This window comes from Homo sapiens, chromosome 15 (genome assembly GCF_000001405.40).
Source record: "Homo sapiens chromosome 15, GRCh38.p14 Primary Assembly".
NCBI lineage: Eukaryota > Metazoa > Chordata > Mammalia > Primates > Hominidae > Homo > Homo sapiens.
This window is the reverse complement of record NC_000015.10, coordinates 85,470,669-85,484,815: the sequence shown is the minus strand read 5'-3', so window position 1 is coordinate 85,484,815 and position 14,147 is coordinate 85,470,669. Positions and strand designations below refer to the sequence as shown.

Below are 14,147 nucleotides of genomic sequence, written 5' to 3'. Positions count from 1 at the left end.
TAACAAACTTTGTATTCTAACAAATCACAAAAGCCTCACTGAAATTGAAATGACCAACTGTTGGGACTGAAAAGCAATGCCTTGGTAGCCTAGCCATGCCTAACTCAAATAACAGAACCATCTCGATATTACAATCCTCACAGATCAAGTTGTGTATGTCTCGGATCAAGACTTCACCAAAAGGCAGTTAACACACACTTAGAGGGAAAAAAATCTACATCAGCCTCCTAAATGCAATCATCTCCACACCAGTTGCAGGCCCCAAGCTTCAACGTGTTCTGCTGGACAACGCAGTAGAAAACTGACAAGCAAGTGGCTTTCCCACACTGACTGAACCACCTCCATGCCCATGCCCATTCATTCTCTGGTCCACCCCATGCGCTATAACAGACCTCCTGGCTCAGGGCACTCTTTCCTTCCTGACTATCTTCACTTAATGACTTTGTACTTTTAGGTGCAAAAATTATCTGCAGAAATCCACACTGAAAACCAAGCTTGAGAAAGGCAGCAATAACCAACCAACATTTTTAGAAGAACAAAGTCAATTTCAAGCCCATCAGATTCAAACAGCAAGCATGGATGAAAATGAAAGATTGAAAGGCTTGAGTGCCTTCTTAATGTATTAAATATCCATTTAATTTACAATTAAGCTCACTGTGCTCACTGGCCTTTTAATCAGCTTTCCAGGGCCTGCTCAGACTTGCCTAGGACATGGGAATGAAAGAACCTATAAATTTATGGACCAATCTACCTTAACTAACTTGTCAAGTGTTCCTGCATCAAGCAGAAGAAATATCAGTGAAATTTATACAGGAATTAACACCTTGTTAAGCCACAAAAATTAAAAGAGTGTCGTCCAATCTTGTAGCTTCCCTGGGCCACGCTGGAAGAAGAAGAATTGTGTTGCGCCACACATAAAATATACTAACACTAATAATAGCTGATAAGCTTTAAAAAAAATTGCAAAAAAAGAAAATTTCATAATTTTTTTGTTTGTTTGTTTTTGAGATGGAGTCTCGCTCTGTCGCCCAGGCTAGAGCGCAGTGGCACAATCTTGGCTCACTGCAACCTCTGCCTTCTGGGTTCAAGCAATTCTCCTGCCTCAGCCTCTCGAGTAGCTGAGATTACAGGCACCCGCCACAACACCCAGCTGATTTTTTGGTGTTTTTTTTTTTTTTTTTTTGAGACGGAGTCTCGCTCTGTCGCCCAGGCCGGACTGCGGACTGCAGTGGCGCAATCTCGGCTCACTGCAAGCTCCGCTTCCCGGGTTCACGCCATTATCCTGCCTCAGCCTCCCCAGTAGCTGGGACTACAGGCGCCCGCCACCGCAACCGGCTAATTTTTTGTATATTTAGTAGAGACGGGGTTTCACCTTGTTAGCCAGGATGGTCTCGATCTCCTGACCTCATGATCCACCCGCCTCGGCCTCCCAAAGTGCTGGGATTACAGGCGTAAGCCACCATGCCCAGCCAATGTTTTAAGACAGTTTACGAATTTGTGTTGGGCCACATTCAAAGCCTTCACAGGCTGCATGCAGCCTGCAGGCCACGGTTTGGACAAGCCTGGATTAGAGAAATCTACAGAGACAAACTAGTGACTTAGCAGCCCTCTGATGTTTCGTGATTTGCAAGAAACTTCGGATGACTATGTGTAAAGACCACAAACATCAATTTAACTGAATGGTTCCCGCCACACTGGAATGAGGAAGCTGAGCAAACTTAGAGGGCTCTAAGAAAGGGCTGATGTCATCTGAACTGTTCGGAATTATAAACTCCTCTAAACATGTTTCAAAACCAGAACTCGTAAGAGTTGTTCTGATACAAGGATTAAAAGAGGGATGACAAAGTGTCTGTCCCTCACACTGGTCAAAGGGACAGGTCATTGTTATGCTGGCAACACAGGCTGCTGAAAAGAATGTATCTGTCAAAAGTAATCAAAGTAATGACCCCAGAAGGCTCCAGAAACAGACTGGTAAATTCAGGTTGCTTTCAGACTTCCACAATGCTGGCACACAACGGGAAAGACAAAACTAACATTTACAGAGCATTATATTTGATATTACATTTAATCCCCACTAAAAAGATACTATTTCCCCTATTTCACTAGTGAAAAAAATTGATCTTTCAAAGGTTAAATCATTTAACACCAAGGTCAAAGGGTAAGTTGGAGAGACCAGATTCAAACCCAGTCTGACGTTAAAACGTGTGTTTTTCCCCCCACATCGTAAGAGGATCTCCTGCTAATGACCTCAAATCTAAAAACTGACTTGCCCTATACCTCGAGCCCCATCCTACAAACTCTCCCTGACATTGTTAATTCAGCTGTCATTGTGCACCTACAATGTGCCAGACACCATACTCCTCAAGACTCTGTAGGCACAGAAGGAACAGACAAAAATCCCTACCTTCATAGATATTATTCTAGGGGTAACACAGGTAAATAAAACATTAAAATAAATAGTTTTCACACAGTAACAAATTCTATAGAGAAAAATAAAACAGAAGAAGGAATAGCAAATGAGGGAGATGCCCTTTAAAACATGGTGCTGAGGGAAGGCCTCCCTGAGAAGATATCATTTACCCCAAAAATAAAAAAGCAAGTAATAGAAATAACAGCTAAAAGGTGTTCTAGACACTTAAACCTGCCACAACATTGAGAACTCAGGGTTCTGATGCAAAACCTCGCTGCATATAATGCATTAACTTATTTTATACATTTAAACAAACTCTACTTAAGAACTGAGTTCTAAAGGGAGGAGCATATTACAGGAAGGCAGTTTTTGGTCAGAGTAAACACACTTAAAAACTAAACCTACTGAAAGACCAAGAACAACTGAAAGTCTTTGCTTTGTCAGTAGATTTTTTTACCAAAATGAAAATTAAAGAAACACATCATGCCCATCCAATGATTTCACCAAGGAATTTTAAGAGAGAAAATCCTACTTCTTCCTCACCCAGTAGCCAGTGAAATGACTGAGCAAATTCACAAGTTCACTGAGGCTGCTTTCATGTAACACAGGGACAATACATGACAGACACAGTGGAACCCTACAGGTTGCCTAGTATTTAAAGACTGTGAAGAGGAGGAAATGTCAAAATTCAAAGTCTTAAATGATGTGGTTTTAAGTATGTTCAGCAATTTCACCACTCAGTAGTAAAGCCAGCTACAGTTGAAAGGAATCAGAAATTTGAGGGGTGTGAAATAAGCAGAAGCACAGAAGTTAAGAATTTGTATTCTTCCCACATTTTCCACTTTATTTTATACTGATGAGAAAAAACAAATTTAATAGTTTTCTGCTGTATAAAAGAGACACATTCACTTTATGTCAAAATAAGAGTCACTCAATTTTAATACAACTATCTCAATTTATAAATTAACATTCTCCCCCACTGACCACACACAGTAAGTCTCTTCTGGTGTTGTTGATTAGAGAAGCAAAAGTTGCTGCTACAATTCTCTTCCTACATTTTAATATAAACAATCATCAGTCTTTTCTTCATAAAGTGCAGTGTGGACACCATCATCAGAATGTACCAGCGCTGGGTGTGCAAAGTTTACAAAGATCAGCAATAGCAAAAGTTTGGAGATTTTTGAAATTCATGCTGCTGCAAAGAACTATGTAAAAACCACTCACTATAGAGGACCACAGAGAAACTCAGGCATGAAGTTATATGGCTGTGTGATTGGTTTGGGAAAAGGAACAGAAAGCATTTCCACCAACCCGTATGTCTGAACAAATGACTGCAAAACCTCAGAAGCTACGAAAATGTTTATATACTAACCAAATACCTCTTAATAAGCCAGAGAAACAGTGTGTCTCCTTAGGACAGACGCGGTGGCACACGCCTGTAATCCCAGAATTTTGGGAGGTCAAGGCAGGCTGATCACTTCAGATAAGGAGTTTCAGACCATCCTGGCCAACATGGTGAAACTATACATGTCCCTACAAAAAATACAAAAATTAGCCGGGTGTGGTGGCGGGCACCTGTAATCCCAGTTTCTGGGGAGGCTGAGGCATGAGAATCGTTTGAACCTGGGAGGTGGAGGTTGCAGTGAGCCCAGATTGCACCACTGCACTCCAGCCTGGGCAACAAGAGAGAAACTCTGTCTCAAAAAAAAATAAGAAGAAAGAAATGGTGTGTCTCTATCCAACAGCTTTATACATCTCACAGATATTTTCAGCTTAACCCCCCCACCCCCACCACCTACATCTCAATACAGGAAAGTAATAGGGTGCCATACAATATTCTCTAGACAATAAATCAAATTCAATCCCAAGTCCTCTACAATTAACTGTATTACCTTGAGCAAGTCACTTAACTTGTCTGAATCTTCATCTCCTTATGTGCAGAAAGAGCATAATAATGCTTCCTATACTGTGGGGTTACTGGAAGAGATGATCCAGGTAAAGTATTAAAGCACACTGACAGGCACATAGCAGAAGCCAATGCTTCTCCCTCTTGCAGAGTTCCTGAGTCTCAATGGAGACTAACCCCACATAAGATACTTTGAAATCCATAAATGGCTAAATGAAAGGCTTCAGATACTCAGAGACGCCTTTCTGGTAACTTCTTAAAATACGCTGGTGGGTAAACTACAATTCTAAAATATAATACAATAATCATAGAAAAGAATCTGGAGGAACGAACACCAAAATGTTAAGTGTACATATCTCTGGAGATTACAGGAAATTTTCATCCCTAAATAATCTGTTTCTTAATTGTAACTATTCAAATAATGAACAGATATTACTTTTTAATCAGGAAGAAAACATTATACACAGCATGTCTGTTTTAAAGTCCCTTGTCATTCAATACATCACAACTGTACTGGAAATAAGTAAAAAGACACTGTTTCCTAAATGTGTAAAACTGAAGACATCCACAATCTTTACCAAAAGTCCCTAGAACCAATAAAAAAAAATTAAAATGAGAATGTATCCAGATGTACATTAACATCAATCAAATTCACTATTCTTTAGCCACACCTACACATGCTACAAGAGAAGCCTTTAACAAGCGCTCCACCATTAATGACATGTCCCTAAAAAGGGGGGTGGGGAGTCACAGGCCCAACATCATATAACAAACTGGAAACCCTTCTGTACCTGTTAACTTGGTGATCTCAGCATATTTTCTAAGGACCAGCTGTCCAGGTCTGACATACCTACCACATCAATTGACAGGGTTTTTGTCACTCTCAACAGGGAAGCTTCCAAATCCACAAAAAAATAGGAGGGGGCAGATCACCCCTACATCTGCTCCCAGTCCCAACAGGCAGACAGCAGCTGTCTGGGACTCAGCCAAGTATAAATAGAGCATTTTTACCTGCAGGGTACTTCCATGGCACAATGTGCTTCAAATGAATTTCCATGGCCAGGGATCCTGCTAAGACTGGGCTACAGTCAATCCTTCAAAACCCACAAAAATTTCGAGTGAGGGTTAACATGGAAATGACAATGCATACTTTGGATTCTTGTAAAAGAGTCAATGTTCAGCTCTTCCTCCAGGAAAATAACAGGATCCAAAAACTCTTTCCTTCAACCCACGGAGCCTGGGCTGGTGGCTATAAAAATGTTATGCCCTGGTTGGGGAGGCTGGGAATATGAGCTAGAAATTCTGAACAACGGAAGAAGACCAGGATACAAAAAGTAAATACGCTTTTCCTGTTGAAGATGCCAAGTTCTATCAAAAAAGTAAAATACCACATGGGCCAAATATATTTCCTGAATAAGGGACTGAGGAAGTCTTACAAGACCCTCATGAATGCTTTACTTTTGTTTGCAGCTACATTAATAATTGAGCAGTTAGTTTTAAGCAGCGATTCTTGAACCTTAGTACACATGAACATCAGTTTAAGGCCTTGTTAAATAAGGCTGATTCTCATTCCCAGGACCAGAAAGAGTAGAAATCGGGAGACCAAATCTGGTGATCCTTTGCTCTGGAATCATGACCCACACTTCGGGAAATGATGTTAAGACTCATAATATGTGTCTGATTCTCATACGGAACAGTTAGCCCTGCTCTGCCCCACTATCATATGATGGTACTTACTAGCCACCAAGACAAAACACAAAGCACTGAGCCCAAATGGGTAAGGCGAGGGGTTGGGAGTGGGACAAAGGAGGCAGGCATGACATGAAGGAAATGAAGAGTCTAACACAGGGTAACATTCAACAGTAAAACAAAAGAACATAGCAAATTAAAACAACAGCAACGACAAAACAGTAACACCCACGTTCACTCATTTAATTTATTCTTTATCAACGCTGGATTACCCAAAAGGCATAAATGATCCTGAGTTTGGGCCAAACACATGCACAAACACCAAATCAATGTAATTATCATGGAAAAAAAATCAGAACTCTTACAATAATGAAATACAAATAATTTAAAATAGTAAGTTAAATGTAGTTTTAAAAAATCAGAACTCTGACATCCTTATAATCATTTTAGAGTTTATTTGAAAGTTGTGTAGGAGAGTACACTATAATCTTTTCCGTGTTTAGGTTATCTTTTTCTTGACATATATTTATAATATGTGCCTGGCACATAAAAACTCAATAAAGGGAGATAATTTCACATTTCTGAGCCCCTAAAATATTACATGTACTAAGTTATTGAGCTTTAGCAATAAATAATATGTGGTTCCTACCACTTTAGTAAAGGGTCATATGTATGTAAACAGATATTACAGTATGATGAGCACAATAATAAAAATGTTACAAGGATCAGGAAGGAGCAATAAACTCTCTAGAAGATGGGGGGTCCAGACAGAGATTACTGGAAGAAGCAAACCATGGGGAAAGTTCCACCAAGTGGACACAGGAGGAGAAGCACAGGATAGAAGGAACAGCACGCGCCAGATATGACAGCACAGTGAGTAGCTGAGAACTACAAAGATGAATAGGAAGTGCACGCAGGGGATCGTGGGGAAGGAGTCACAAGAGGCATCCAGGTCAATCCACATACCTCAAAGTTGCCCAGCCTTAGAAACAGAGGCAGGGAGAGAGAAGAAAATACATAAACCACTGTGACACAGCTCCATACTAAAGAAATCTCAGCCATTATACAAGGGAAAAATAAATGTGTTGCAGCTAAATGGGGAAAAAAGAAATCATGGCCCTATAATGGCAGTGGTATCAACAAAGCTCTGCCTTTTTTTTTTTTTTTTTTTTTCCTTTTTTTAAGCTCAGTTCAAATTTCTGTTCATTCACAACTGCAGGTTCAAAGATTCACAAAAAGCAGCACTGGAAAAAGTTTGTAATTGTGTAGCGTAAACTCAAACCCAGACACAGCAAGGATCTGTTGGGGGCCCCAGCCAACAGGGCCAGGCCAGACTCCCACCATGACTTCCCTGAGGTGCAGCAAACAACAGCTGGTGCCCCATCAATTTACACCAGCCTCTGGAGTTTCTTAATCCCAATCCCAAATTACAAGAACTTACAGGTAGAAGGGGTCTTGGAAGTAGCCCAGATCATTCTTCTTCCCCAAGGAGGACTCACTGCCAATGTGCCTGTCTCTGCTTGTAGACTTGAGCACCAGGGCCTTATCACCCTGAGAAAATCTCTCTATGCCCCACTCGCACCTCTGACTCAACCTTCCTAAAATGCTATTTTCATTCTGTAGCACCCTCTCTGCCTTCACAGAAGTAAGTAATCTTTTAGAACAGTTCTTTTGGGATACCAGTGCCTTTACTTTAGGGAGTTCTAGGGCATGGCACTCAAATAGTAACCTACCATGACTCGAGAAAGGGAGAGAAAAGCATAAACATAAAATGTGATCACAGTTTTGGGAACACATTTAACCCACCTTAGTTTTCCTAGAGCTTCCAACCTCCAGAGCTTAAAGATGGAGCCCTGTACTCTGGGACCCATATTCCTAAATGCTGCATCCACAGACACACATGGCCAGCACATGATTAAGCCCACTACATTTCTTCTGTAAAAAATTAAACGTACTTATTTTACAACAACGATAGACAAGCCACTTGGATGAATAGTTATTAAAGGAAAGGATGATTGCAGAGTCCTCATTAAGATTAGAGACAACCTTCTAGTATTTAAGAATCATTTGATGACCCCAACAGACTAATGTAAGGATAAAAATTAGAGTACTAACGTAATTCAGAGACAGAGACAAAAAGACCTAGAATTGAGTTGTAAATGTGGCACTTACTGGCTGTGTTACCTTGGACAAGTTACTTAACTACCAAGCTTTATTTTCCTCATCTGTAAAATGAGAATACATAAAATTAAAGATGTGTAGTTAAAGGTTTAACACAGTGGTAGGCAATAAGAAAATAATAAAGTAAGCTCCTATTCTTCTTGCCTGTTATGAATTACATGATAGCCTTTCAGCACTAACCTTCTATCACATTCAGCTACCACATCTCTCAGGACATCCTCATCACTGTGTCGATCCCTAATTCTAAATAAAAGGTGATGGTGAGGAAAATATACATTCCAACAGATAAGGTACTCTATTAAACATACCATTTATCATTGGTGAGCTCTCAGAAGCCATCCACCATGCCCCCACTACCCCTCTGGTGCCTCCAAAGAGTGTTCAGGGTCCCTCATTATCTATAAAGCCTTACTGAGCACTCTTTTCTTCCATACCACACCTTCCATCCAGTCCCTGCATACCTCACATGCATGCACCATGCTCAGTCCAGTCCTCAAGTCTTTGCTCATGTTCATGCCCTCCACCCTTGCTGATTTTAATAGGATTATCACTGATAATCTAACCCACACTATCAGCAGTAAGTCAAATACTATCTTCTATTTTTCTTTTATTTTTGTGCTTGCCTTCTCTCCCCAACTTGTTTTTAATCTAGTCTACTGCATTGCAGATGTCTCCTGTAGCACCCTCCACACCACTACTGCTCATGCCACAGCACCTGGCACAGTACTGAGCCCCCAATGAATGCTAGAGAAATAACTGTTTGACATGAACATCAGAGACAGAGAAATTCATCAGCTGCTTTGCTGCACCATAGTTTGATGGCAAGGGATCCACAGTTATAGCTATAAGTACAAAAATCAACTCATCAAAACAAAAATGTCTAAAAATCACTCTAGCCCCAGAAGGTTAAACTGGTAGCTCATTAAAGGCAGCATGAATTCTGCTAAGTGTTAAGCAATCCAGCCTGAAGCAATTTGCTTAATCTGCCAGAGAGGTAATAGGGACCAGAGCTGGGGAATTCAACATCATATAACTAGACAACCTCAAAGTGAAGGGGAGGACAAAGAGCTACTTAACACTATACTTAGGATCCCACATGATGGTTGGTACCTCTGGAAAGAGGAACTCATGGACATGTTATTTCAATTCTCTTTTGGTGTTTAACACAGGCTTGTGGTTTCCTGCAAAAATGGTTTCTGCTGCTTTGCAAAGATCTATATGGAGAAGAAAACTCCCAATGGCCATTCCACAGGTGAGAATTTTGCCACCAGCTGTATCCTGTTATCCAAAGGAAACGGGAACCATAAGCTGCCAGGAGGTCCAGACACAGGAGAGGAAGGCCATAATTCAGTGAGTGCTGACATTCCTATCCCTACGGTAATAAGAATAAACTTTAAATTTAGAAAAATTCTTACACAGCTGGGTTTTATGTAAATTAACTTCAGGAGGGGTTAAAATAGATATCCGGCAAAGAGACTGCCAAATTCAAGCCTTTACACTTCCTTCATCCTCCCCAGCCTCTATCAACCAAAAAGCAGGCTGTCCAATGGGCTAAACCAATTATAAACCACCTGGAAAGACTAAATATAGGCAGGTAGGCTCTCACACAAATGAGGACATTACTGAGCTGGATGACCTTACCTGGACAAATGCGAGACCTGTTAGGAATGATTTCCAAGGCAGGCACGGCCCACCTTCTCACACACGTTATGTGACTATCGAACGAGTCACACAAGTGTCAGAGGGGATCAGAGACGTTAAAAATGTCAGTTACCTTGTTAATTATTAGACTGGTTCTTGTCTTGAGAATAAATATTGTCTTCAATGTTATAATTTCACAATACTAAGCCTTTAACATCTTGAGAACAATGACACTGGAAACACAAGGTGGTAGGTTTTTGTTAAACCACCTATCAAAATTGGAAGGAAAAGTTTTAAACAATGAAGACTTCAAATTAAAAACTTGTATATGTCATAATTAAGTGAAAATTCTACAGATATGAGGAAAACTTCAATATTCTAAGCAGTCCCCTATTAAAGATTTTGTTAATGTTAATCGCTTCAATGAAAAATTTTATTTCTAATGGGGAATTTCTAATCATAAAACATTCCTGACATGAGTAATCCCTTAGACAGTCATTCTTGCTCTTATACACCAAGCAAGGATATTTCTGAAAATACTAATGCATTTATTTTATGTGGCAAAGAACTAGGTTAGCCAACTAAAAGCACATGAAAATTAATTATCAACACTGATGCCAGGTCAATACAGAACTTGTGACAACATGAATGGCATTTTTAGCAGAGAATCTGACTATTTAAAGACAGCATTTGGGGAGTGGGGCAGAGGGAAAGAAAGGAATCAGGAATATATGTTTTAAACTACGAAAATAATGGGCTTATGAGCTTTTACCTCTTGGAGGAAGAGCTGAGAACATGTTAGCTTGTGTTTTTTAACCACTGCTACTCCTGCTGATGGAGAGTCAGCCACATGTTTGATACAGAAACCCATGTTTACAGTTGGGAACACTTTTTTCATCCTATGTAAGTCACCTAGAGAAAGAACTGATATCACAGAGACTTTAAACTTTCAAACTAGTAGTTGAGTGGGCTGTATTTCTTAAGGATTCTGCTGTTCAAGTAAGAAGTGAGGATTTTATTTCCTCATTGCTTCCCATTATCATTTTTTTCTTGTTGCTTATCCCAAGTCAGGTATGCCTGTTTACTGGATTAGTGTCAGTGAAAGATGAAGTTTACAGAACATCTCCTGTGCACTAAATTGCTGCACAGATGGCATCTCATTTGACCTACCACAGGCCTCTCAGGCGAGTGGTTATTAACTCTGTTTTCTACAGAGGAGGGAGGCCCCTGGCTAGCAAGAGGTTGGGCTTCACCTCCCTCCCCTCTCATGACCCTCTTACTATGACCAAAGCAGTCCATCATTCTTCAGTTGACATGGGATGTTTAGTTGATTCTGAGCTTTGGCTGTCTCTGGGTTTTTGAAGCAACCTGAGTTCTTTGGTTTTTCAGATCAGTCTGAATTCTGGCCATCTTCTAACGATGACTAATCTAGCACTGAACCAACTGCGTGTTGCAGTGGGGGCCTCCTGTGGGGCCTATTTAACTTATGTGGAGAATCAGAAAGCCAAGGTCTCAGCATTCTCTGGAGGGTTTATTTGGACTTTTTATAGTTCATTCTATCTATAATCTCGGTCCAGAGTATGCACTCAAATATTTGCTGAATTGAATTATTTCCCTTTCAAATACTTTTTGTTTGCGTGGTTTACATCTTCTCTTACTTGTGCCTTCCACATCAAATTGCTCTCCTGACAACCTGGGTCTGTAAGCCTACATCCCTACTCTTTACTCCCACCCCCACACCCGCGCCCAGTTAACAAAACCTGCAAAGCAGTAGCTTTACTTTTAGGACCCCGTACCTTGAAATCTTCAGTCTTTTTTCCCTAAATTAATTTACTTTTTGACTGTAACAGTTTTCAGGGAAAGTAGCCAGTTGTGCTCCTTATGTGCTTATTATGACCAAATTATTAGCACGTGGGTCATTCTGTTACAACAGTGATTTTATGAAACACCTATGTGTATTTTTTGAATTTTTGAAGTGTAGTAATTTTAAAGGAAAGGGTACTATTTAGCAGATGTCTAGCTGTTTCTCTAGCTATATTCTTGTGTATATGTCACATATATTAAATATTTAAAGTGTCACATACATAGTAATATGGCCTGTTTCCACATTTACTAGAAACAACAGTTTATCATTATGCATTTCTGTTATATAAGTGCTATTTATCTTTTCATACACAGCTACAAATGCTAAAATGTTTTAAAGCACCAGGTCTGTATTTTTCATGACAACCTTATTTTTTATTATCTTAGTTCAAGTGGGGAAATTAATTTTATTCCTCCCCTATATGAGAAGTTCTTAATATGTAAATCCTCTAAGAGTTTCCTACTAAGAGGAGTTCAAAGCTAGGTGTGGTGGTGCACACCTATAGTCTCAACTACCTGGGAGGCTAAGGGGAGAGGATTGCTTGAGCATCTCCTCCCTTGAGAAGTTTGAGGCCAGCCTGGGCAACGTAGCAAGATCCTTTGTCTACATTTTTTAAAATGTCAAAAAGAGTTCAGAAAAGTTGAAATTCAGGGAATGAACACTGAAGCTTCTCTTAAATGTTTTATTTCTAAATCCAGAACGAGTGTTATATTACCCCAATTTAGACTGGCAATAACTTGTTGAAAATTTGTTGAGTTGTTGTCTTTGTTTTTTTTTTTTTTTAAGAGATGGGTCTTACTATATTGACCAGGCTAGACTCCAACTCCTGGGCTCAAGTGATCCTCCTGCCTCAGCCTCCCGAGTACTTGGGACTACAGGTGGGCACCACTGCACCAGCTTCCTGCTTTGTTTTTTGTTTTTTTTTTAACCTAGTATATGACTTTAAACTCAGATCTAATCTAACCAATTCTTCACCATAGCATTGTTAAACAATTACAAGTTGAAATTTCAAATAATTGTAACAGCATAAAAAACCATGAAATACTTAAGGACAAATTTAATGAAATGTGTAAGGCCTGTATACTGAAGACCGAAAAACTTGCTTAAAAAAATACAAAACTAAAGATCTTTTAAAATAGAGAGATACATGGTAAATATATTAGCTTAATATCATTAAATGTCAACTTTCCCCCAAACTGATCTACAAATTTAATGCATTTCTAATAAAAACACCAGTAGTCTTTCATAAGGCAAGCTGATTCAAAAACACATGGAAATGCAAATGACTTAAAATATTCAAATCAGTTTGAAAAAATAAACAGAGCTAGTATAAGTTCAAAGACTTATATTACCTATTATGCGATCCCATTCTTATGCAATTCTAGAAAAGGCAAAAGTAGTGACACAATGTAAACCAGTGCTTGCCTGGACCCAGGGATGGGGGGAGGCGATTACAAAAGGACAAGAAACCTGGGAGTGATAGGAATGTTCTATTTGCTGATTGTGGTGGTGGTTACGTACGCAGTTATCAGAACCAACTGACCTAAGCACTTAAAATGGGTGAATTTTATTGTGTTTAAATTATACCCTAAATAAAGCAGTTTTTTGTTTGTTTGTTTGTTTGTTTTTTGAGACGGAGTCTCACTCTGTCGCCCAGGCTGGAGTGTAGTGGCACCATCTCAGCTCACTGCAAGCTCCGCCTCTTGGGTTCATGCCATTCTCCTGCCTCAGCCTCCGGAGTAGCTGGGACTACAGGCACCTGCCACCACACCCGGCTAATTTTTTGTATTTTTAGTAGAGACAGGGTTTCACCATGTTAGCCAGGATGGTCTCGATCTCCTGACCTTGTGATCTGCCTGCCTCGGCCTCCCAAAGTGCTGGGATTACAGACGTGAGCCACCGCGCCCAGCCAATAAGGCAGATTTTTAAACTTTTAAAAAATATCTTCAAACAATTCAACAGTTCTTTATAATGCTGTAATGCTTTGTGTCATTGTGTTGAACACCAATTGTCACTATTCCATGGCTGAGCCTGGTAGAAAATCTCAGCTTCCTCCACAATGAGGGCAGTAACAGGCTGGCAACAAGAGGCCAGCATGAAGTCACAAGGGACGTGGAAAGTACATAAAACTAGGTAACTAAGATAGTGCCAGATGTTTGTTTAAAAGCGCTACAAAGTGAATAGATAATAAGGATAAGAATGACTAAAATTACACTGAAACTTAACCAACTGCAGTCATGATGTTATAGCTCAGAGAAAGCATAAAATTGAATGTTCCTGAGATACTGCATCTCTGTTTCTCCCCACATCTCCAAAGTAACATAAAATCACTGAACTCTCTTCACTGTCAATGCTTAAAGCACTGAGCCTTTGTCTAACTGCATGTCTGTCAGATGCATGCTGGCTACTTCAAACAAAAGAAAGTGATTAGGGCATACTGACTTTATTATAAAGTT

The 14,147-nt window shown here is 39.9% G+C and overlaps 1 protein-coding gene across 2 annotated transcripts in view, besides 3 other annotated features; it reads right to left on the bottom strand.

Annotated features, from left to right (window-relative positions):
• AKAP13 (A-kinase anchoring protein 13) overlaps positions 1 to 14,147 on the bottom strand; it is a 368,756-nt gene that overhangs the window by 264,543 nt on the left and 90,066 nt on the right. The window lies entirely within an intron of this gene.
• Positions 3,035 to 3,194: an enhancer, noted in NCBI's record as "active region_10015". NCBI's record gives its function as "activates an Ori minimal core promoter by ATAC-STARR-seq in GM12878 lymphoblastoid cells {active_cell/tissue: GM12878}" and the evidence as "EXISTENCE:reporter gene assay evidence [ECO:0000049][PMID:35858748]".
• Positions 3,729 to 3,778: a silencer, noted in NCBI's record as "silent region_6782". NCBI's record gives its function as "represses an Ori minimal core promoter by ATAC-STARR-seq in GM12878 lymphoblastoid cells {active_cell/tissue: GM12878}" and the evidence as "EXISTENCE:reporter gene assay evidence [ECO:0000049][PMID:35858748]".
• Positions 9,097 to 9,156: a silencer, noted in NCBI's record as "silent region_6781". NCBI's record gives its function as "represses an Ori minimal core promoter by ATAC-STARR-seq in GM12878 lymphoblastoid cells {active_cell/tissue: GM12878}" and the evidence as "EXISTENCE:reporter gene assay evidence [ECO:0000049][PMID:35858748]".